The sequence below is a fragment of the Homo sapiens genome, chromosome 16, assembly GCF_000001405.40.
Source record: "Homo sapiens chromosome 16, GRCh38.p14 Primary Assembly".
Lineage (NCBI taxonomy): Eukaryota > Metazoa > Chordata > Mammalia > Primates > Hominidae > Homo > Homo sapiens.
In genome coordinates this window covers 22,132,784-22,157,182 of record NC_000016.10, presented here as the reverse complement: position 1 = coordinate 22,157,182, position 24,399 = coordinate 22,132,784, and the positions used below count along the sequence as shown (strand labels likewise).

The 24,399-nt window shown below is 48.8% G+C and overlaps 1 protein-coding gene across 18 annotated transcripts in view; it reads right to left on the bottom strand.

Moving 5' to 3' along the window:
- Nucleotides 219-24,399, bottom strand: part of VWA3A (von Willebrand factor A domain containing 3A) — a 64,424-nt gene continuing 40,243 nt past the window's right edge. For 7 of the 18 annotated variants that reach the window (XM_011545742.4, XM_047433629.1, XM_047433627.1 and 4 more), the window contains 16 exons: nt 24,088-24,283; nt 22,745-22,815; nt 18,671-18,823; nt 16,939-17,029; nt 15,491-15,601; nt 14,418-14,515; nt 12,799-12,936; nt 10,839-10,947; nt 9,541-9,612; nt 8,877-9,021; nt 7,252-7,396; nt 6,337-6,488; nt 4,549-4,672; nt 1,519-1,616; nt 1,267-1,332; nt 219-1,151 (listed from right to left, as the gene is read on the bottom strand). In XM_011545742.4, coding sequence (XP_011544044.1) covers nt 1,281-1,332; nt 1,519-1,616; nt 4,549-4,672; nt 6,337-6,488; nt 7,252-7,396; nt 8,877-9,021; nt 9,541-9,612; nt 10,839-10,947; nt 12,799-12,936; nt 14,418-14,515; nt 15,491-15,601; nt 16,939-17,029; nt 18,671-18,823; nt 22,745-22,815; nt 24,088-24,283 — 1,755 coding nt within the window. In that variant the 3' untranslated portion in view covers nt 219-1,151; nt 1,267-1,280. Of the gene's footprint in view, nt 1,152-1,266; nt 1,333-1,518; nt 1,617-4,548; nt 4,673-6,336; nt 6,489-7,251; nt 7,397-8,876; nt 9,022-9,540; nt 9,613-10,838; nt 10,948-12,798; nt 12,937-14,417; nt 14,516-15,490; nt 15,602-15,933; nt 15,981-16,938; nt 17,030-18,670; nt 18,824-22,744; nt 22,816-24,087 lie in introns of those variants that run through there. The other 11 variants (XM_047433630.1, XM_047433632.1, NM_173615.5 and 8 more) reach the window with 9 other exon arrangements.

Below are 24,399 nucleotides of genomic sequence, written 5' to 3'. Positions count from 1 at the left end.
TGGCCAACATAATGAAACCCTGTCTCTACTAAAACAAAAATTAGCCAGACGTGGTGGCAGGCCCCTGTAGTCCCAGCTGCTCAGGAGGCTGAGGCAGGAGAATTGCTTGAACCCAGGAGGCGGAGGTTGCAGTGAGCCGAGATTGCACCACTGCACTCCAGCCTGGGCAACAGAGCGAGACTCTGTTTCCAAAAAAAACAAAAAAATGGATGTTTATCTTTTTCTTATTGAAATTCTTTATTATGGTATGAGTCTTTTAATAAAGTTTTATGTCACTAAAAATTTATGCACACACACACACGCCAATGATCACTTCAAACAGTTAAAGTCATGTTGATCCTATTAGTAGAATAAAATTAATTGTTTTTAATTTTAGAAAATGAACCCAGATGAGCAGCCTTCACTTCAGTTTGGTTGGGCAGGGATGGAGGGTGGTGCTGAGGCTCACTTGTTTCTTCTTCCCCCAGGATGGGCTGACTGTGACTCTGCATTAGCCTCTTATGAACCAGGGTGGAGACCACCCCATCAGCTGCTTTCCAGAGCTAGGCTCTCACAGCTCAGCCGCCTGCTCACTGTTCACCATGTGTCTCCTATGTGGCAGCTTCTGGGGACCTGCAGATCCTGGGACACCAGTCTCATCCCGAAGGAGCTCACCATCAAGGAGAAGAGTTAGATCAGCGAGCAAGGTGGCGTGACATAGAGTGCTGAGTGCGAGAGGTCTGCGTGGTCAGGATGCTGCAAGAGAAAGACTGGAGGCCCCTCGCTCTAGATAGGTCCCAGGGAGCTGATGTCATTTGAGCTGTGCCTTGATGGATGAGCAGGAGTCTCCAGGCAGAGGGGGCAAGAAGCACCGTTCAGGCAGGGGGTTGGTTTGCAAGAAGCACCACCATTTAGGCAGGGGGTTGGTTTAGGGCTTCCCAGAGAGGGACAATCTAGTGGCTGGAGAGTAGAGTGCGCTGCGGGACAGGGCTGGAGAGTTAGATTAAGACCCGGGAATGGCCCCTCACACAAAAGACAAAGTCTTTCCTTCCTCAGCTTCCAGAGAGTCCTGGTACCAGGAATCATGTTTCCTGCAGGTCACAGCATTTCATCCCATCCTGCCCTCGGGGCTGAGATTTGCTCAGTGAGTGGTCCTTTGCAGGATGACTTTTCTGTTTAGAGGAATCATTATTTTTTAACCAAAGTTATTATTGACCACAAAATAGAGCATGCCACTTGGTGCTTAGTGCACACTCAGGTAGTATGGGGTCTAGCCCCTCCCCTTACCTGAGAACACTTCTCTAGGAAAGAGTGACCTTTGGTTCTGCATCATTTTTCTTCTGGAGTTGGGATCTGGTGGGCAGGAGATGAAGAAAGATGGTCTCCCTGGTGCCCAGATTTCTGGGCTGGCTGGGAGAAGCAGGGCAGGAACCCTTGGAGCAAGGGTACCATCATGGGTGCGGCCCTTCTCGATGGGGTCCGGGGTCTGCATGGGCTGTAGCCACATGGCAGGCCGGAGAGGCTGCGTGAAGGGCATACCTGAAGGATTGGGCCTGCCAGAGGAAGCTTCTGGCCTTGGTGATCTCCTGGGCCAGGATCCTTAAATCATCTCCTTCAAATGGTGGCAATGTGGGATCCTTGAAAAGAGGAAATGAGTGTGAAGTTTATGACTGGATGGGAGCTGAAAATCCAAAATCTCAGGAAAAGCATTTTAGAGCTAATCACGTTCTGGTTTCCATCCAGTGCAGGAAATCTTGTGAGCCTCTGCTTGTATATCTCCAGGGTCAGGAAGCTCACTACCTATCAAGACAGTCATTCTGCAAAGGGGAAACTTTGAAATATGGTGTCTGAGAGTCAGTGTAGGGAGGGGACGGTGGCAAAGTACGATGGTGTCAGAATCTGAGTGAAAGTGGCCCCACTCTGGTCCAGTGGAACAGAAATGACACCGTTTCCTTATCTCAGCGCTATTCAGTAGAATCTGTTCAGCCATTTTTTGCATTTCTTCTAGTGAAGTAGACTTACAGGTATGCTTTTTATTTGGTTGATTTTAGAGACAGAGCCTTGCTCTGTTGTCCTGGCTGCAGGGCAGTGGCGTGATCACGGCTCACTGTAGCCTCGACCTCCTGGGCTCAAGCTATCCTCCCACTTCAGCCTCCCAAGTAGCTAGGACCACAGGCATGTGCCACCACACCTGGCTGAGGCATGCTTTTTTTTTTTTTTTTTTTTTTTTTTTTTTTTTTTTTGAGACGGAGTCTCGCTCTGTCGCCCAGGCCGGACTGCGGACTGCAGTGGCGCAATCTCGGCTCACTGCAAGCTCCGCTTCCCGGGTTCACGCCATTCTCCTGCCTCAGCCTCCCGAGCAGCTGGGACTACAGGCGCCCGCCACCGCGCCCGGCTAATTTTTTGTATTTTTAGTAGAGACGGGGTTTCACCTTGTTAGCCAGGATGGTCTCGATCTCCTGACCTCATGATCCACCCGCCTCGGCGTCCCAAAGTGCTGGGATTACAGGCGTGAGCCACCGCGCCCGGCTGAGGCATGCTTTTTAAAAAAAATGTTAACTAATAAAATTTCGCCACCTATCCTTAAAAATACATCTTACCAATCCCAGCGCTTTGGGTGGCTGAGGCGGGTGGATCACTTGAAGTCAGGAGTTTGAGACCAGCCTGGCCAACATGATGAAACCTCATCTCTACTAAAAATATAAAAATTAGCTGGGTGTGGTGGCAGGCACCTGTAATCCTAGCTACTCGGGAGGCTGAGACATGAGAATCACTTGAACCCAGGAGGCAGAGGCTGAAGTGAGCTGAGATCATGCCACTGCACTCCAGCCTGGTGACACAGCAAGACTTCATCTCAAAAAAAAAAAAAAAAAAAAAAAAGAAAAAGAAAAAAGAGGAAGCCATCCCTTCTGCCTGGCAGTAGTAGCACAGCAATCCCATTCTGCATGCAAAAACAATTCAGAGAATCTGATTGGATAAGGAATTAAGCTGAGAGCCTTAAACATATCATCACTTGTTTTCCTGTGTAATAAGGACGCTTGGGTGAATATTCATTACTTTTACCAATTTGTTCAGTTCTCTGTATTATTTATAATACTTGTCCCTAGAAGAGCTAGTTGAACCAAAGGAGTCATGTAAGGCTACCCAGGCTTCAAAGATTATGCCAGCCGAGCCTGACGGTTCACACCTGTAATCCCAACACTTTGGGAAGCTCAGGCGGGAGGATTACTTAATCCTAGGAGTTTGAGATCAGCCTGGGCAACATGGTGAGATCCTGTTTCTACAAAAAATTAAAGAAATTAGCTGGGCGTGGTGGCACACCTGTGATCCCAGCTACTCTGCAGGCTGAGGTGGAAAGATTGCCTGAGCCCAGGAGGTGGAGGCTGTGGTGAGCTGTGATTGTTCCTCTGCACTCTAGCCTGGGCAACAGAATGAGACCCTGTCTCAAAAAAAAAAAAAAAAAAATTATGCCATGTCCTGTGAAAGTAACCTTTAACCTCTGAAAAGAAATCTGGAATTCTGATTGGTTGTCTTACTTGATAATTTGTTGCGCTGGGAATGTTATCACTGACAACATTGCATTCCTAAAAGGTATAAATAAGTGCAGAATTTTCCTATTAAGTCAGAAGTGGATCATTGAAATCTATGACTTTACTAGACTTATTACTTAATAGATAACCTATGACTTTGCCAGATCTATTGCTTAACAGATAACTTGAATGTCTGTATTTCAATGAATTGAACCCCAGAAGACACAAATATGCAGGAATTAAAGCACAAAGTTTAAGATCATGGGTGTCTTGGGGCTCTAGCTATACCACTTCCTCTGACTAGTTTTTATTGTTGTTGTTTGTTTGTTTTGAGACGGAGTCTTGCTCTGACACTCAGGCTGAAGTGCAGTGGCGCAATCTCGGCTGACTGCAACCTGGGTCTCCCAGGCTTAAGCAATTCTGCCTCAGCCTCCCGAGTAACTGGGATTACACGTGCATGCCACCATGCCTGGCTAATTTTTGTATTTTTAGTACAGACGTCATTTCACCATGTTGGCCAGGCTGGTCTCAAACTCCTGACCTCAAGTGATCCACCCACCTCGGCCTCCCAAAGTGATGGGATTACAGGTGTGAACCACCGTGCCCAGCTTTAGGTGTATTCTTAAACCTTGCTGGCCCTCTCGTTCACCTGTTAAATGGGTATAATATTAAAAGAGGTTATCTACATAAAGCCACATAAATTTCCAACAAAGGCAAACTGGCCTGACCATCAGGAAATATAACACCCTCAAATCCTGCTTCTTTCCCAGCCTTGAGGAGAGTCAGCCTAAAAGGACAGCAGCAGGGAAACCCAATCCTTTTCAGCTAATATTTTGTCTCAACGAAAAGCAGAGATCTTTTTCGTCAGAAGGAAAACCCAGGATGGGCGTGGTGGCTCATGCCTGTAATCCCAACATTTTGGGAGGCCGAGGTGGGAGGTTCACTTGAGCCCAGGAGTTCAAGAAGGAAAACCCCATGCCTGTTGATATTTTATCGAGCCGTTTCAACAGACCTCATGCTCAGTGGCTCTGCAACCTACCTTTTCATTGATGAAGCCTTTGGTCAGCAGGCTGTGAATTTTGGAGAGTGTGTCCTCACCCACAGGGCAGTGATAGCGTCCGCCGGTGAAGGAAGCCAGCTTTCTCAGGAACTCAACCGCCGCTCTGGAAGGAAGGGACAGAGGGCTGGTGGGAAGGCTGACTGACCAGGCAAGTTCGTGTGACTCCCCACGTCCATGGGGAACTTAAGTCCGTGGGGCTTAAGAGAAATCAGCCTGGCAATGGGCCGTGGCTTGTCCCATGGAGACCACCATTAGAGGACACTTTCCCCACCAGCTTCTGGACAGCTATAGCAACTGCTGCTGCTTGAGGGAAGAGGAGTCCCCGTGTGAGTGTCACCATTTAGCCTGGACCCCCTGAAACCACACAGCCCACACACTCCAGCCCCCATTTCTTTTCTTTTCTGAGACAGAGTCTCAGTCTGTCACCCAGGCTGGAGTGCAGTGGCACAATCTTGGCTCACTGCAACCTCAGCCTCCCAGGTTCAAGCGATTCCCCTGCCTCAGCCTCCTGAGTAGCTGGGACTACAGGCACCTGCCACCACGCCCGGCTCATTTTTGTATGTTTTTAGTTGAGACGGGGTTTCGCCATGTTGGCCAGGCTGGTCTCGAACTCCTGACCTCAGGTGATCTGCCTGCCTTGGCCTCCCAAAGTGCTGGGATTACAGTCATGAGCCGTCGTGCTCAGCCTAGCCCCCATTTATTTATGGGACATTTATCCAGTGCCTACTATGTGTTAGGCCTGTAAAGGACACACATATTACACTTATGGGGCTCATGGTTTAGACCAAGAGATAAAATGTGTCCCTATGCAGTCTGTTTTGCTAATAATAAAGTTTTTTTTTTTTTGAAGGAGCTGAGTATGTCTTATCTGACATGTGTTCTTTTTCACATTTTTATTTTGTTTTGTAGAGATGGAATCTTGCTATGATATCCAGGCTGGTCTCGAACTCCTGGCCTCAAGTGATCCTCCCACCTCAGTCTCCCAAAGCACTGGGATTATAGGCATGAGCCATTGTGCCCGGTCATAGCACATGGTCTATAGTGATCGTTTATAAAAAAAAATAACCATGACAATGCTACATTAATATTTTTCTCTCTGGCTTTTCCCCTAAATGTCCCCTAAATATTCACAAATGTGATCCCAGGGAAGAGTAGGAGGGAGACTGTAAAATGACTGTGTGAATCCCTTGCAAATGTGTTTCCAGGCTGGAGGAAGTCAGAGGGAAATATCTGGGTAAAGAGAGGGGTTTTCACCCTGTGGTGTGACACCGGCTTGGGCCGTCTAGAAAAACAATGCTTCTCCTAACTTCTTTCTTTTCTTTCTTTTTTTTTTTTTTTGACAGTCTCACTCTGTTGCCCAGGCTAGAGTGCCATGGTGCAACCTCCGCTGACTGCAACCTCTGCCTCCCTGGATCAAGTGATTCTCACGTCTCAGTCTCCTGAGTAGCTGGGATTACAGGCGCCTACCACCACACCTGTCTAATTTTTGTATTTTTAGTAGAGACAGGGTTTCACCATGTTGGCCAGACTGGTCTTGAACTCCTGACCTCAAGTGATCCACCTGCCTCAACCTCCCAAAATGCTGGGATTACAGGCGTGAGCCAGCATGCCCGGCCGCTTCTCCTAATTTCTGATTTACAGGATTAGGGCCCAGGAGAAACCCGTGTCTAAGTGAGCAGCTAGATTAGGTGAGGGGCTTGGATCTCCCTGCTGAGATGTGTGGCTGTGGAAAAAGAATAAAACTCAGTCAGACTCCATATTGCGCACCTGTCTGAGCAGTTCAAGGAAATGGTGTGCACTTTCACATCTCTTTTCTCCCTGAGTTTTTGGACTTCATTTAGGACAAGGCTGCAGCTTGTGTCTGGCTTTCCGTCGGTCAGGAGGTACAATCCTTCCAGATCATGGAAACTGAAAGCTTTCTGAAAGAACGCAGGAAGGCTGTCAGGCTCAGGGGAGAGGCTCACCCAGAACACAAGAACCAAATGCCTAAAGGTAGTGCCTGCTGCCGCCTCTGCCAAAATGCATCTGATTGGATGCCACTGACCTGTTCAAAAAGACTGAGATTCTCTTTCAGCCTCAGACAGACTAAGGAAGCTGCTGAGGTTTAGGAGAAATAGCATGGTTCACTGCCTAGCTGGTTAATCCCAAGCAAGTCACTTAACCTCTCTGAGCCTCTGTGTCTTCATCTATTTTTTTTAATTTTTATTTTTTTGAGATGGAGTTTCGTTCTTGTTGCCCAGGCTGGAGTGCAATGGTGCAATCTCGGCTCACTGCAACCTCTGCCTCCCAGGTTCAAGCAATTCTCCTGCTTCATCCTCCCAAGTAGTTGGGATTACAGGCATGTGCCACCACGCCCGGCTAATCTTTTGTATTTAGTAGAGACGGGGTTTCACCATGTTGGTCAGGATGGTCTTGAACTCCTGACCTCAGGTGATCCACCTGCCTTGCCCTCCCAAAGTGCTGGGATTACAGGTGTGAGCCACCGCACCCAGCCTGTGTCTTCATCTATAATGTGAGAACATTGAGAATCCTTTTCTCACTCGGGTGTTGGGAAGATGAAATGATGTAGTGCTTTGTAAATTATAAAGCGCCCTTTGTAAATCCTAAAGCATCGTGCAGCATCAGCATAGGGGATGATGGTATTTGTTTTGCGTCAAGGTCGGGCTCCGTGGTGGGACTTGCCAGCAATGCTTGCAAGATGGAGGTGCTGCCCTGAGCTTGCAGGTGGGTCACCCATTGCATAGCCTCATGACACGCTGCATCTGTGGTCTCCACCAGCGTGTCCTGCCATGACTGAAAGCTCTCTGCAAAGCTGAGCAGGTTAAAACTGGGGAGGAGGAAAAGAGGAGGTGAGGGGCAGAGAAGGGGAGAAAGAGATTGGTTAGAACAGGCCTGTCTAGATTGAATTCAGATAAGTTACCCTCATGAGGACTATTCTTGCTCGTCACTGAAGACCCCTACAACGAGCCCTGTGGCCCCTCAGGGAGAGGGCTGTGGGGCCTCTTGAGAATGAGAGGGTACACACTGACAATTTGAATGCAGACAGAAATAGATTTAAATCCCAGCCCAAGCCAGACACAGTGGCCTGTGCCTGTAATCCCAGTACTTTGGAAGGCCAAGCTGGGAGGATTGCTTGAGGCCAGGAGTTCAAGACCAGCCTGGGCAACATAGTGAGACCCCCATCTCTACGAAAAAGATTTTTAAAAAATTAGCCAGGCATGGTGGTGTGCGCCTGTAGTCCAAGCTACTTGGGAGGCTGAGGTGGGAGATCACTTGAGCCCAGGACGTTGAGGCTGCAGCGAGCTATGATCACACCACTGCACTCCAGCCTGGGAGACAGAGTGAGACCCCGTCTCAAAACAAACAAGCAAACAAACAACCCAAACAATCCTATCTCAGCCAGTGACTGGTTACCCGATCTTCAGCAAGTGTCTTAACCTCTTGAAGTCCTGGCTTCCTTTTCTGAAAAATGGGGGCCGATAACAGCAACACCTCACGGGCTCATTGTGAGAGTTGATGAAATGATGCGTGTAAAGCATCTGGTGCACAGAAAGTGCTCAATAAATGTATACTCTGATTAAGGCAAGAACGAGGCCTAGTCTACGATGAGAGTCCCCTGGGGTCCCCTTCGGGTCAACCCTTCTGGATGGGGAAAATAAACAACTTCCTCCACTCAAAAATCAAGTTCACAAAAATTAAAAAAATTAAATCATTAAATAATTTAAAACAAATCAAGTTCAGCTGAAAGCCATACTTCAAGGCCACATGGTAGTTCCTTTGCTGTGCTTGCAATTGTCCCTAGGCCTGAAATTAATTTTTAAAAATTGCGTTCCTTTTTTTTTTGAGACAGGGTCTTACTCTGTTGCCCAGGCAGGAGTGCACTGGTGCAATCATAGCTCACTGCAGCCTCAACCTCCTGGGCTCAAGTGATCCTCCCTTCTCAGCCTCCCAAGTAGTTGGGGCTACAGGTGCACACCACCATACCCAGCTAATTTTTAAATGTTTTGAAGAGATGGGATGACACTTTGTTGCTGAGACTGGTCTTGAATTCCTGAGCTCAAGTGATCCTCCTGCCTTGGCCCCCAAAATTGCTGGGATTACAGGTATGAGCCACCATACCCGGCCTCTAAAAACTGATTTCCTTCACAGCAGAGCAGAATACAGTGCTCTTTCCTACTCAAACGCGTTACTCAGAAGAGCATCTCAGAAACTCCAGGCCTGTTGGCACTGAGAAGAGGGGGCGTGCTTGGCCAGGGAAGCCCCAGGAACTGCCCCTTTGATCTTCCTGATCAGCCCTCGCCTCCTACCTGTCACAGCACTTCCGCAGCTGTTCCCAAATCAGCAAAACCAGCTCTGTCTTCACCTGCTGCAGGTAGGGGCCCATGGACCCTGACGTGTCCAGCAATATGCATACTTTGCTCTCCAAAACGGTGCCAAACAGTCGGCGGCTCCCTGCTCCGAGACAGGTGGGGAAGAGGCAGGGAGGGAGTGAGGGGTCCCTCCTCCTGGGTGGTTTCCCTCACTCTATCTATCAAGTATAAAGTCTTGTGACACCTGTTGCCTGCCTGATCATTGATTGGATGTCACCCCACTGAGAGACGGCTTTTGTGGTGCTGTGGGAGGGGTCGATTGTCCAAGGACAGACCTGGTCAGTGGTTTGGGCTTTGGGAGATCGAGATTTCAGCTCTGGCTTTGTCTGTGATGAGTTGCACAAGCGGTTATAACCTCCTGGGCTTGAATTTCCTTATCCTTAAAGTTAAGTGATTGGATTAAATAGTACCATGACATTGTTTTAAAATATTAGATGGTGTTTGGGTGTGTACTGGTATGTGAGCTGGGGGATTCATACTACAAAAGAAATCGCTGGATCTCTGGTTTTATGTCACCGTTCCCAGGGGTAATGTGAACCGAGGGTGGAGAGAGGCTCACGCCTTCTCTGTCCCAGCTCAGCCTCTGACCTGACAACTGTACCTGAAGCAGCAGTCATCATGACGCCCCTGTCCATGGACTGTCTATACCAGGTCCTACTGCAGAGGACTGGACCTAATGAATTTACACAGGACCCTGAGTGGCACGTACAAAGCCACCTGTAGGATCTCTATATAGGACTCCCTTCCTCCCTCCTCCTGATGCCCCAGAAACCCTCCAGGCCCCATAGCCCGAATCCCCTCCTGTCCAGTTCTAGCTGTCTGCCTGTCTTCTTGGGCTTGATGCTTCCAGACCGTCTCTTAATCCACAGCCCAACCCTGTCCATTCACCTCTCCTGGAGGGGACTTGGTGCTCTCTGTAAAGAGGTACACAGTAGCTCACACCTATAACCCCAGGACTTTGGGAGGCTGAGGCAGGAGGATAGCTTGAGCCTAGGAGTTCGGGGCCAGCCTGTGCAACATAGAAAGACTCTGTATCTAAAAAAAATAAATAAAGTAAGCTGGGCATGGTGGCACGTGCCTGTAGTCTCAGGTCCTTGCAAGGTTGAGGTGGGAGGATTGCTTGTGCCCAGTTCAAGGCTGCAGTAAGCCATGACTGCACCACTGGACTCCAGACTAGGTGACAGAGAAAGACCCTGTTTCTAAAACAAAACAAAACAGAGGGTTTCTGCTCTGTCAGTTCCCCTTACCATCTGCATCTCCAGGGGCTGTTTTGCTGGGGCGCAGTCAATATTAAAGCAAACCTTTTGACAGTGAGCCCCTTGTCACTTGCAGGAAGGCAAGGTGTGGCAGGTGGCCTTGCAGAGCAGGCTGGGATGCGTGTGAGCTCCCGCTGGGGCTCTTTGGCCCATGTTCCACCTCCCTGTTATCCAGCCCCTTGCCTGTCCTCTGAACCCACTGTCATTTTTTTTTTTTTTGGATAGAGTTTCACTCTTGTTGCCCAGGATGGAGTGCAGTGGCGCGATCTCAGCTCACTGCAACCTCTGCGATTTTCCTGCCTCAGCCTCCTGAGTAGCTGGGATTACAGGTGCCCGCCACCATGCCTGGCTAATTTTTTGTATTTTTAGTAGAGACGGGTTTCATCATGTTGGCCAGGCTGGTTTCGAACTACTGACTGGTGATCCACCCACCTTGGCCTCCCAAAGTGCAGAGATTACAGGCATGAGCCACCACGCCCGGCCTCCCAGTGTCATGTTGTATGTGGATGATGTTCCTGGCCTAATCCTCTGATCTGCAGTTCTTGAAGGCCTGGCTTTGGAAGGACTGACACTGGGGTCCCTGGGGCTAGCCTTCTACATCCCCTCATGCTCCTCCACCCTTCAGGGCAGTGGGCAGGCTCACCGGACAGCAGCCACTGCAGCCTCTGGACATAGCGCCTTAACACCTTCTCCAAGTGCCTGATGTACACCTCCATCTCCCTGGGCGTCCACTGGATGTGTCTCACCACTCCCTGGGTTAAGGCAAGCAGAGGCAAGCACCCACCCCATCAGTCATTTCTTCATATCCCCATCACCCCCTAAAATTGTTTATTCCATTGTGGTTAACAATTCTCAAAATATTTGTTGGCTGGGCACGGTGGCTCATGCCTGTAATCCCAGCGCTTTGGGAGGCCGAGGCAGGAGGATCGCTTGAGCCCAAGAGATCAAGACCAGCCTGGGTAACATAGGGAGACCTCATCTCTACCAAAAACAGAAAATTTAGCTGGTGTGGTGGCATGTGTCTGTGGTCCCAGCTGCTTGGGGGAGGCTGAGGTGGGAGGATTGCCTGAGCCCAGGGAGGTAGAGGCTGCAGTGAGCTGTGATTGCACCACTGCACTCCTGCCTGGATGACAGAGCAAGATCCTGTCTCAACAAACAAACAAAAACCCACAAAAAACAACCATCTGTTAAGTGTATTTTTTTTTTTTGTTTAAAGCCTTTTTTTCTTCTATTAAACTAGTGGATTTATGGTTCTACAAAGGAGTAGGGAATTAAGATTTTTTTTTTGGTAAATGCAGTTGCTATATTAATAAAAATCATAATAATTTCTGATTTTTTTTTTTTTTTGAGACAGAGTCTCAGTCGGTTGCCCAGGCTGTGTAGTGCAGTGGTGCGATCTCGGCTCACTTCAGCCTCTGCCTCCCGGGTTCAAGCGATTTTCCTGCCTCAGCCTCCTGAGTAGCTGGGATTACAGGTGCACAGCACCATGCCTGGCTAATTTTTGTATTTACAGTAGAGACGGGGTTTCACTGTGTTGGCCAGGGTGGTCTCGAACTCCTGACCTCAGGTGATCCGCCCGCCTTGGCCTCCCAAAGTTCTGGGACTACAGGCATGAGCCACTGCGTCTGGCCAATAATCTCTAAATTTTAAAATAGAAAACTCTAAATGGTGGGGTAAGAAGTTCATAAATTTTGAACTGAAAGATGACTTCAGGTGGAGAGGGGCAACATGCTAGAATGACCCTATATTCCTCTAGTGAATAATTTTGAATTTTGTGGCTATTTTTAGTTTCCCCTAATCTTGACAATGTAGGATAAGAGGGCAAGGAGAGAAATGATCAGATTTTCATTCTGTACTAAATTTACTTGTTCCAGTGTCAAAGCAATAAAAAATCACCCCAAAATTAGAAAATAGAAAAGAGAACCCTTCACTTCCTATCACAACCCCTATTTGCTGCCATAACAGAACCATCATCAGTATTGGGGTACAGCATTCTTATGGGTGAACACTTCAGCCACGGCCCAATCTTCTCAGCAATTGCTATTTTTCCTATCTTTTCCTTTTTATGTTTTAAGAGTCAGGCTCCTGCCCCATGGCCCAGGCTGGAGTGCAGTGGCGTGATCACGGCTCACTGCAGCCTTGAACTCCATGACTCAACTAATCCTCCCGCCTCAGCCTCCCAAGTAGCTCGGACTACAGGCACACAGCTGCACCTGGCTAATCTAATTTTTTTTCAGAGATGGGGTCTTGCTATGTTGCCCAGGCTGGTCTCAAACTCTTGGGCTCAAGCAATCCTCCCACCTCAGCCTCCTAAAGCACTTGGTATTACAGGCAGGAGTCACCGCACCTGGCCTCGGCAATTGTTTATAATTCTTATTCCAATGAGCTCATCTAACCCTGGAATGGGATCTTAGGCCCTCTGGGAAGTTGGCTTTTCTTCCAACAGGATTTTGCATCTCCTATTTGGTGAGGGGAGTCCCACTTTGGGGAGGAGGGCAGTTCCTACAAGCAGAAATAGAGGCCACAGTGCCCTACACTGCTCTCTGCCATTTGCAGCTGAGTTGGGGGAGAAAAAAAAGACGATGATGAAAATTGTGACTTACATGGATCTCAACGCTGGGGAAGATGCTGCAGTGTTTGGCGGATGCTGACCTCTGTCCTGACTTTTGATGAGTGCAGTTGGGACCCATGCATCTGGAAATCTCCAGCTTCAATTTTTTGAGCCCATATTTTGCCACCCACTTTAGAATAAAGGAAAGAACTATTATCTTAGGCAATTCAGACTCAACTGAATGATCATCTGACTGGTCTATGAGAACCTCATGTTTGAAACCTGTATGATGTTTGAAATGTGGGATTCCCAGGTCCTCACAGAGCATCCATCCCATGCAGATTCCTTCCCTGGCTTTGGGGGAGAAATGCACAAGAAATATGGGGGTGCAGGCTGGACGCGGTGGCTCATGCCTGTAATCCTAGCACTTTGGGAGGCTGACAGCGGTGGTTCTCAAACTCCTGAGGTCAGGAGTTTGAGAACAGCCTGGCCAACATGGTGAAACCCCATCTCTACTAAATACAAAAAATTAGCCAGGAGTGGTGGTGCATGCCTGTAATCCCAGCTACTTGGGAGGCTGAGGCAGGAGAATCGTTTGAACCCAGGAGGCGGAGGTTGCAGTGATAGTGCTACTGCACTCCAGCCTGGGCAACAAGAGTGAAACTCTGTCTCAAAAAAAAAAAAAAAGAAAGAAAGAAAGAAAGAAATAGTGGGGGTGAAGAACAAAATCTATCGCGCACCTCCCAGACCCTAGTCTAGTGGACACTGTTACTTCCCTAACATCCATTTCAACCCCACCTACAACATTTTTTAGTATATGTGCTGCTGAAGTGAGCACCCCACCTACAATATTTGAGTGGAAAGCCCTGATTGGTCTAAAGCTTAGACTCTAAGCCAATTAGGATAATCTCAGTCTCCTTGTCACAATGAGGGACACAAGAATGGGCAGGCTCAAAGCAGCCAGGGATGGCATCTGCCATCGGCACAATCAGAACCATGCTCAGGCTTTTATTGAATAGCTGTGGGACAACTATCCCCTTATGCACAAGAAGTGGGATTTCTGTTGATTTCACTTTAAAGAATCTTCACATCAATCTTATTTGACTGGCACAATTGTCCTTATTTTACAAAGGCAGTGAGATTGAGTATAGCTAGGTGATTTGCCCAAGGTCACCCAGGCAGGAAGTGGCAGACCTAGATTTTGAATTTAGGTCTATTTAACCCTTATCCCATCTGCCACAGTAAGCAATTGTTCTTATCAGGTTTGTCCTTTTTTTTTTTTTTTTTGAGACAGAGTCTTGCTCTGTCACCCAGGCTGGAGTGCAGCGGCACAATCTTGGCTCACTGCAACCTCCACCTCCCAGTTTCAAGTGATTCTCATGATGTAGCCTCCCAAGTAGCTGGGAGTACAGGTGCGTGCCACTGCACCTGGCTAATTTTTGTACTTTTAGTAGAGATGGGGTTTCACCATGTTGGCCAGGTGGTCTCGAACTCCTGACCTCAAGTGATCCACCCACCTCAGCCTCCCAAAGTGCTGGGATTACAGGTGTGAGTCACTGTGCCTGGCTTGTTCTCATTTCTGATTATGCCCCCCCATCCTAGAAGTAATGGTTGGTGGACAGAACTACTCTATTGCTTAATGGGCATGTGCTAGTATGGGTGACTTAATACCTCTTGGCTTGAGCAAACTGTATCCTTTCTGGGTAAGTCAATAGAAGAGCTAGTCCTTCTCAAGCCCCTTCCTTGAGGGTACTTCTTGTACACTGAGCCTAGAAGAAGCAGAGTGAGGTCATTGCTATAGTTTGGATGGTTGAGCCCCTGCAAACCTCATGAAATGTGATCCCCAGTGTTGGAGATGGGGCTTAATGGGAGGTGTTTGGGTCATGGGAACGGATCCCTCATGAATAGATCAATGCTCTCTCTGGTGAGAGGGTGGGGAGCGAGTAAGTTCTCCCTCTATTACTTGCCGCAAGGGCTGGCTGTTAAATAAAAGCCTGGCACCTCCCCATTTTCTTGTTTCCTCTCTCTCCATGTGATCTCTGCACATGCCAGCTCCCCAGCGCCTTCCACCATGAGTGGAAGCAGCCTGAAGCTCTCACCAGATGCCCAAACTTCCAGCCAGCATAAGCCTGAGCTAAAAAAACCTATTTTCTTCATAAATCACCTAGCCTTGGGTATTCCAAGCACAAATGAACTAAGATGGTCACCCTGTGTACCTCTCTTCCCTCCCCCTGAATCTCCCACTGCTCCCTTTTTCATGTCAATTTCTCTGTCAATCAAGTCAGTTGTAAAAGTCCTTAGTGCAATTTGCTGAGAGGTAGAAAGGGAGCTGTTGGGTGGATGGGGAAAGGCTGTTTGGGACCTCCTGCCTAGCAATGAATTGTTCTTGGGATCTGCACCATTTCACAGCAGTGAATCAGGCTGGCCTAGGGGAATCATCTCCATCCCTTGCCATCTGCCTTAGAGCTAAGGAAACTGCCCCTAGTGGACAGAGCTGGAGTGCCCAAGAATCTCAGGAGGTCTCATCTTCAATATTGACTTCTCTCATTCCCTGGTTGTTGTCAAAACTTTGCATGTCCATTTCCCAGGGCTGGGAGAACTGAGTTGAGTACGGCTTGCTCCAGAGGCACCAGTGCCTAGGTCCTGGGACAGCAGGAGGGGTCTCCTTCCCACGGTACCTGCTGCCCTTACAGCTCCCCCAGGGCCAGGGGGCTGTCCAGACACCTGTATAGCCTCTAACTTACCCACGTCATTCCCTTTCTCTGTGTAGAACAGTAAAAGAGATGTCTCTGCTTCCCTTGACTTGGTCTTCCTCCTCAGTTCCATCATCCCTTCTTTCGTTGGCTGGGCCGCAGCTGAGGAACATTTGGCTTGTTGGCTGGAGCAGCTGCATGCATTCTTGCAATACAGCTGTCCAGCTTGGCTTAGAGACACTCAAGTTCAGCTATACTCCACCCCAGGAAATGGGGCTCCAAGATGGCTTCAAGGCACCCTGTGTCCTCCCCCGCCAGGTCTCTGGCTTTGCTTGGATCAGAAATAGCTATAGCTACCATTTACTGAGTCCAGATCTTTCCCTGGCATTGTGCTAAGTGCTTTGAGTATGCTGCCTTGCTTCATCCTCACAGTCCCCCAGTTTACAGATAAGGTAAGTGGGAATCCACCAGTAAGAGGCAGGGCATGATTCTACCTGGTCCTGCTGACTCCAGAACTCTGCTCTGAGCCACTCTGCCATACCTTTGACATTAGAAATAAAATACATGGTCTTAGGTTCTACGAGCTGAGTACTTTCATTAAGATTGTGAAGGCCTGTTACCACTAGTGGCACATGATCCTTACCCCCCTGAGCCTCAGTTCCTTTGTCAGTACAATAGGAAGCTGATAGAATACAGATGCAAAGGATTGATCATTATAGGCTTTAAATGGGACAATCTTAGCAGATGGGCTGGCACATGATCAAGACTCAGGATCATTGATCGTTTTAGTTACTATCATTATTGCTATTATGATTATTATTTTAAGAGATGTGGCCAGGCGTGGTGGCTCACGCCTGTAATCTCAGCACTTTGGGAGGCCGAGGCAGATGAATTGCCTGAGCTCAGGAGTTGTAGACCAGCCTGGGCAACATGGTGAAACCCCGTCTCTACTAAAAATACAAAAAGTTAGCCAGGCGTGGTGGCACACACCTGTAGTCCCAGCTATTCAGGAGGCTGAGGCACAAGAATCGCTTGAACCCAGGAGGTGGAGGTTGCAGTGAGCTGAGATGACACGACTGCACTCCAGCCTGGGTGACAGAGCGAGACTCTGTCTCAAAAAAAAAAAAAAAAAAAAGTAGAGACAGGGTCTTGCTCTGTCACTGAGGTTAGAGTGCAGTGGTGCAATGATAGCTCACTGCAGCTTCGAACTTCTGGGCTCAAGCAATCCTCCCAACTCAGCCTCTGAGTACTTGGGGGACTTCAGGCATGCACCACCACATCTGGCTCCTTTTTTGTTTGGTAGAGATGGAGTCTTGCTATGTTGTCAAGGCTTGTCTTGAACTCCTGACCTCAAGTGATCCTTCCACCTCAGCCTCCAAAAGTGCTGGGATTATAGGCACGAGCTTCCACACGTGGCTCTAGTTACTATCATTATTAACCCATGCCTCAGCCGTGACCGTGACATCCCTCCACCCTGCCTGACCGTGATGGTGCCTTACCTGGTGAGATGCCAACTCTGCTACTGAGTGGACGCCATTTCAGAGATTTCAGCGGGGGGCTCTTCTCTCTGTCAGGGTCATCTTTAATGCTCTAGAAAACAGGCAATCTTTCCCATCAGAGGAGTGTTCCCTGTGTCACGCAGGATCCCAGTTACCCTGACCTCAATTTGTCAATCAGGAACTTTTGTAGGGAGGAGCCTAAGGGAGGGGACTCCTCAGACAGGTTTGGCCCCTCTCCTGCAGCAGATTCAGAAGGGACTCTGGGTTTTGAGGTGAAAAAGTATGGGTGTGTACATGTGTGTAGGAGTGTATATGTATGTGTGTGCATGTGCATATGTGTATGTATGCATGTGTGTGTGTGTGAGATGAGAGTGAGAGAGCTGCTAGTGAGAGAGCTATGGGGGTTTGCCAGAATTTTTTTCATCAGTCACCTGCCCCTCTTCCTAATGGACTGGGATGTCTGGGCCTCCAGCATGACAACAGAAATTTAGGTAACTTCTGTGCCTTATCAGGCACCTCAGTTTTTTTTTGTTTGTTTGTTTTCTTTTTTGAGATGGAGTCTGGCTCTGTCACCCAGGCTGGAGTGCAGCGGCGTGATCTCGACTCACTGCAAACTCTGCCTCCCAGGTTCAAGCAATTCTCCCTGTCTCAGCTTCCCGAGTAGCTGGGATTACAGGCACCCGCCACCACACCCGGCTAATTTCTGTATTTTTAATAGAGAGGGGGTTTCACCATGTTGGCCAGGATGGTCTTGATCTCTTGACCTCATGATCCGCCTGCCTTGGCCTCCCAAAGTGCTGGGATTACAGGTGTGAGCCACTGCACCTGGCCCAGACACCTCAGTTTTAAGGGAAGAGTTCCTTCATTCTCAGCCACGACTGGAGTGTGGCGGTCATTAAACAGTCACTGTCTGGGGAGCACCCGGCCTGGTTTCAGGAGGCACTCAGGAAGCACTGAAGGCTCAAGAGGCAGCCTCTGAGGAGGGGGCGAAGTGCCTGAGCTGGCTCCTGAAACCTGGCAGAGTTCCCCGAACGAGGGCAGAACCCGGCTGCACAGGCTCTCCTGGAAAGGCAGCCCTTTGGCTGGAAATCTGCTACCTACTGTCTGGGATGGATTTCCACATTCTGAACATGGGCTGTGCTCACAGGGTCTGAGTCATGCAATGCTGAGGGACTCACAGGTGTCCCTCCCAGTCTGCTCACAAGCACAGGTGCCTCTGGGGTCTGTCCTCTAGAGCCCTTCTGATTGCCAAGGTGGGTGGGTATTTTATGGAGGACAGAATTGATAGGCTGTGAATGAGGATAAGCCCCTAGCAGGCTCAGCCCACCCTCAGGCTCCTATCAGCCTCTGCAAAGTCTTGGGTGGCAGCGGGAAGAGCCCTTAGAGACCATAATTCCTTTGCCCCCGAGAGACTCTCCAGGATAAGCCATCAGATGAAACAGGTGGGTGTCAATTCTGTGGCATCCTCAGTACCAGGGTAGGGAAAAGGCTGGGATAGGCTGACAGAGCCAAGGGTGGGTTGGGGGAGGACAGAGGACCCCGAGAGCTGAGGAGCCGGCCCCCCGCGGGAGATTTTCCCCCTGGAGGCCTGGGCAAGAGGCACCCACAGGACACTCACCACTGAAGCACCCACCCCCATCCCTGCTGGCCCCAGCCATTTTAAGACCCAGGAAAGACCAGAAGACAAACAGGAAACCAAATCTTCTGCGTGTTATTAGGAGGGGAGTCAAACCATTCTGGCCCCCAGGGGGACGGTGGGCCTGGGAGGGCAGAGCTTCTTGGGCTGACTTCTTAGCTGAAGTGTCTTTGGTTTTTCTTTCGGGAGGGCTGAACTTCCCAGTACTTTTCCTGAATGGTTCTTCAGGGAGGCCATGAGGAAGGCACACTGCAGTGGGATTGGGAGGGTCAGTGGCACCCCCAGCCACTGTGGACACACACACACACACACACACAGCAGGAGGGACTGTATCCACTGGAACCTCTGATGTCCCCTGGACTCCTCTTTTTGTCCCTAGAAAGCCACCTGGGGCTGAAAGTGCTATGGACCAATCCTATGAACAACAGTAAGACCAGGTATGGGGGCCTGGGAGGCACAGGCTCTGGGCTAGTGAATACTTGGGGGTCTCCAACCCTCATGCCAACAAGTCACATCAGCTATGCCGATAGGGTAGGTGTGTCGTCTCCCCATTTTACAGATGAGGAAACCAAAGCTCTGAAGCTGTCATCACAGAGTTAACAAGAATTCTGGACAAAAATCTAGTTATCATGAAGCCCTGATCAGGCTGCACATAGCCCCACTTCTTTGTAACCTAAAGTCACATAGCACCAGATCCTGGCTGTTTGCATCCCCGTTGTTCCTCTAGATAGGATTTCTGACTTCAGAATCACAAGGCTTTTGTTTAAGAATTGCTTAAGATGTTTTTCAGACCCGAATTCCAGCAAAGCAGCTGATGCCAACAGTTTGAAGACCCCCAGAGGAACAGGAACAGCATGAGAACACAGCTTCTTCATCTCCCCTGCCCATGACTCCAGCCTGCACTCAACTAGTCAGTGATCTCCATACTTCAGCCCACTGCAAAACCCTTAAAAACCTTAACACCAAATTTGAGGTTCCCTCCCATCTCCTTGTTTGGCAGTCCTATAATTAAACTTCTTTTCTCTGCTGCAACCCAGTGTCTCTGTGCATTGACTTGCCATGCATATCTGGCCACAGATCTATTACAGTTACAGCTCTGTGAGCTTAAGGTTCTCATCTAAGACCACCTTATCAGTGTGTAGAGAAACTTCAATTCAAACCAGGTGGGTCTGTTTCCAAAGCCAGCACCCTTCCATTATGAGACACTGTGGCCTCCACTTGTGGGCCAGTCAGCTTGCCGCATGCCAGGGCTGATTCCAGATGCTGGCAGACTAATGGTGTAATACTCAATGCCTTTTGCCTACGATTTTCTCAACAGCCTGACTGGTTCCCCAGCAATTATTCTCAATCAAAGCTCCAGAAGACACCATTCAAATGTAAATAAGCATCCTCTGGAAAGGTGAATTATGCGGTCATTGCCCATTAACACCATATGTATCAGTTTATCTGATGAGGGAATGGGACTATGTGCACCTGAGGGTAAGGGATATTTATTTATTTACTTACTTATTTATTTATTTATTTATTTATTTATTTAGAGACAGAGTCTTACTCTGTTGCCAGGCTGGAGTGCAGTGGCATGATCTTGGCTCACTGCAATCTCTGCCTCCCGGGTTCAAGGATTCTCCTGCCTCAGCCTCCCAAATAGCTGGGATTACAGGTGCGCACCACCACACCCAGCTAATTTTGCGTGTGTGTGTGTGTGTGTGTGTGCGTGTGTGTGTGTGTGTGTGTATTTTTAGTAGAGACGGGGTTTCACCATGTTAGCCAGGATGGTCTCGATCTCCTGACCTTGTGATCTGCCTGCCTCAGCCTCCCAAAATGCTGGGATTACAGGCATGAGCCACTACGCCCAGCTGGGAAGAGATATTTTAAAAGCACCAAAAGGGTCCCTTTTGGGGAAGACAGCACAGGCACGCAGGGGGAGCCACAGATCTGCAGATCCAGTGGCCACAGAGGAATAGAAGATGGAGACGTGGCCCTGCCCTCCCAGGAGTCCACAATCCAGTCTGGGAAGTGAGTCCTTCTGCAAGTGGTGGAGTCCAGGAGTCTCCTTCACAGGCTCCTCCACTCCACTGCCTCGACCACAGCCTTGCTAAGTGCCCTCTGTCCGTCACTGTGGCTTGAACTGCCCTAAATCTCCATCTCCAGCCATGTCTTTTCCCACCTGCCTGTAGGGTACCCTCACTTGTTATCTCACAGGCTCCACAAACTCACCCTTGTCCCAGACCCGCCTTCCCTGCACCTCTCCGTCCTTCCATGGGCTCTTCCTCCTGTTTTCTACATCTTGGTCAATGGCCTCACTGTCTACTGGGTGCTCCAGTGAGGAGCGTGGGGGTCAGTTTGTATGTTTTCTCTTTCACACTGCCCGTTCAATCACTTGCAAGTCCGGGGAATTCTTCCTTAGATAGTCATTGCTCCTCACGGGATCTGGCTCCTAGCTACCTCTCTCATTGTATCTTGTCCTGCTCAACTCCTCTGAGGAAGTAACATTTTAGTGTGTCTAAACTAACTAATAGGCTAGGTGTGGTGGCTCCCGCCTGTGATCCCAGCACTTTGGGAGGCTGAGGCAGGCAGATCAGCTGAGATCAGGAGTTTGAGACCAGCCTGGCCAACATGGTGAAACCCCATCTCTACTAAAAAACACAAAAATCAGTCAGGCGTGGTGGCGGGTGCCTGTAGCCCCAGCTACTTGGGAGGCTGAGACAGGAGAATTGCTTGAACTCAGGAGGCAGAGGTTGCAGTGAGCTGAGATTGCACAATGGCACTCCAGCCTGGGCGACAGAGTGAGACTCTGTCTCAAAAAAACCCCCAAAAAACAAAAAACAAAACCCTAACTAATGATAAGGAGCAAGCCATGAAAGGTCTGGGATGGGAAGGACAGAGGAAACAGCAGGTGCAAAGGCCCTGAGCTTAGGAATGGGTTTAGCAATAACCTTGACGTGTTTAAGGAACTCAAAGGAGGCCAGAATGTGCAGCACACAGACCTAAAACCAATGGCTTCTAGGAGACACTCATTTCTTCTGAAGCCTTGGGTCTCAGTGGATTAGGACATGAAGAGGGAAGCTGACATGGGATGAGGTGTGTCCCCCAAAAGGATATGTTGAAGTCTGAACCCTCAGGACCTGTGCATGTGGCCTTACATAGAAATAGGGTCTTTGCAGATGTAATTAAGATACAAATTACGGTGAGGCATATTGGAGTAGCGCAGGTCCTTAATCTAATCTGATTGTTGTCCATGTAAGAGGAGAAGGGATGCACCTGGAGGGAAAACAGCCATGTAAAGACAGAGGCAGAGACTGGAGTTATGCTCCTCAAGCCAAGGAATGCCAGAGATTGCTGGTGACAAGGACTGCCTCCTTGACCGAACTTTAGCCGGCTCCTCTAAGCCATCTTCTCAATGAGGCCTTGACCTTGGCCTGCCGAACTCAGTTTTGGCAAAGAATTTTGCTAAGTCAGTTTAGTGAGACCTGTCCCATCCTTGATATCCAAGCAAGTTCTTCATCTCCCATCTGAGATACCTTTTTTAAAAAAATTATTTTAAAAAAATTCTTTAACAGAGATAGGGTTTCACCGTGTTGCTGAGGCTGGTCTCAAACTCCTGGGCTCCAGCGATCAGCCCACCTTGGCCTCCCAAAGTGCTGGGATTACAGGTGGGATCCACTGTGCCCAGTTCTATTTTTGACATCTAAGCCTTTGGTCTGCCTTTAGCAAGAGCCCTGTTTAACAAGAATCCTTTTATCTATCCTATCTATCCAGTTCTCTTAGTAATTTTTCCATCCACTGACTGCTCATTGGCTATAAATCTCCAGCTATCTTTGCTATTATTTAGAGTTGAGTTCAGTCTCTCTCCCCTATTGCAATAGTCTTAAGTAAAGTCTTCCTTGCCATTTTAAAAGAGCAACCAGTGCAATTAAAAACAAACAAACAAACAAACAAACAAACAAACACCAATTGCCACCAGAAGCCAGGGAGGGGCAAGGAAAGATTCTACCCAAAGCCTTCAGAGGGAGCCTGGCCCTGCTGACACCTTGATTTCAGACTTCCAGCCTCTGGAAGTGAGAGAATCAATGGTTGTTATTTTAAGCCACCCAGTTTGTGGCAGTTATGGTAGCCCCAGGAAATGAATACAAAAGGCAGTGCAGTCATTGGCCCATGCCCAGGGCATACCTTTTGGGAGTAGTTGAGAGCCTTTTCCATCTCAGACATGATGGAGTTGATGTCATCGCTCTCATAAATGCCTGGAAACAAAGCACATCGTGAGCAAGGTGAGACAGGGTGTGGATCCTGGCAAGCGTCCCCATCATCTGGATACTAGAAAGCCACCTGGAGGTGACTTGAGGGCTGGGAATGGTGGCTTACTCCTGTAATCCCAGCATTTGGGAGGCTGAGGAGGGAGGATTGCTTGAGGTTGGGAGTTCAACACCAGCCTGGGCAATATAGTGAGACCCCTTCTCTATAAAAAAAAATTTAAAAAATTAACTGGGCGTGGTGGTGGACACCTGTAGTCCCAGCTGCTCAGGAGGCTGGGGTGGGAGGATTGCTTGAATCCAGGAGGTTGAGGCTGCAGTGAAGTATGATGGCACCACTGCACTCCAGCCTGGGTGACAGAGGGAGACCCCGTCTCTAAAAAAAATGTTGCTTTTTGTACCATGTACAACTATCTTGCCAACCATGTGCTGTGAACACACCACCCTTTGAAAAACAATCTAAGGGATGTTCAGGGTGCCTTCTAGCTCTGACATTCTATGACATTCTAAATTATATATTTTTTAATTTTTAATTTTTTTGTAAAGGCAGAATCTTGCTATGTTGCCCAGGATGGTCTTGAACTGGATTCAAGCAATCCGCTCGCCTCAACTTTCCAAAGTGCTGAGATTACAGGTGTGAGCCACCACCTGACTCATAATATACTTTTAGAGTTTTACTTCTTCTTCTTCTTTTTTTTTTTTTTTTTTTGAGACAGAGTTTTGCTCTGTCACCCAGGCTGGAGTGTAGTGGTGTGATCTCTGCTCACTGCAACCTCCGCTTCCTGGGTTCAAGCGATTTTCTTGTACCTCAGCCTCCCGAGTAGCTGGGACTACAGGTATGTGCCATCACACCCGGCTAATTTTTTTGTATTTTTAATAGAGTTTCACCATGTTGGCCAGGCTGTTCTCAAAGTCCTGATCTCAAGCGATCTGACCACGTTGGCCTCTCAAACTGCTGGGATTGTGGGTATGAGCCACTGTTCCTGGCCTACTTCTTTTAAGTTAAAAAAATTGCAGTAAAATATACATAACATCAAACTTACTATTTCAATCACTTAAAATTGTACAATTCAGTGGCATTAAGTGCATTCACATTGTTGTTCAACCATCACTGCTATCTATCTTCAGAGGAACAGTTTTACATTTTAAAATGTGATTTTCACAAGCTGCTTTTCTGGAATACATCTGTGGTCTAAGGGAGCTATGCTGGTGCTGAGACAACTGTTTGGAATGAGCTGAAGGGATGAGGAAACAGTCATGTACCTGTGTCTCCAAACCAGTGGAAGCGGCCACCTGCAGCCCGGGTGACCTCCTTGTAGGCGGCGGCTGTGTCAGTGTGACTGGCATAGCGGGCAGGGGGTGTGGTGTCCATCTTTGGCTCGCCCACGTAGAAGAGACACACGTTCAGCTGGAGGTCGCAGCCGCCACAGGCCTCAGCCATGTAGGCACTGAGTGTAGGCTGGTGGGGAAGAGAAGGTAGGAGGGGCCAGCAGCTGAGGGCCTTGAAGCTGTGGGGCTCTGGGCAGCCCAGCCTGGCCATGTTTCTCCAGGGCCTTCTCTGTGCCTGGTCCAGTC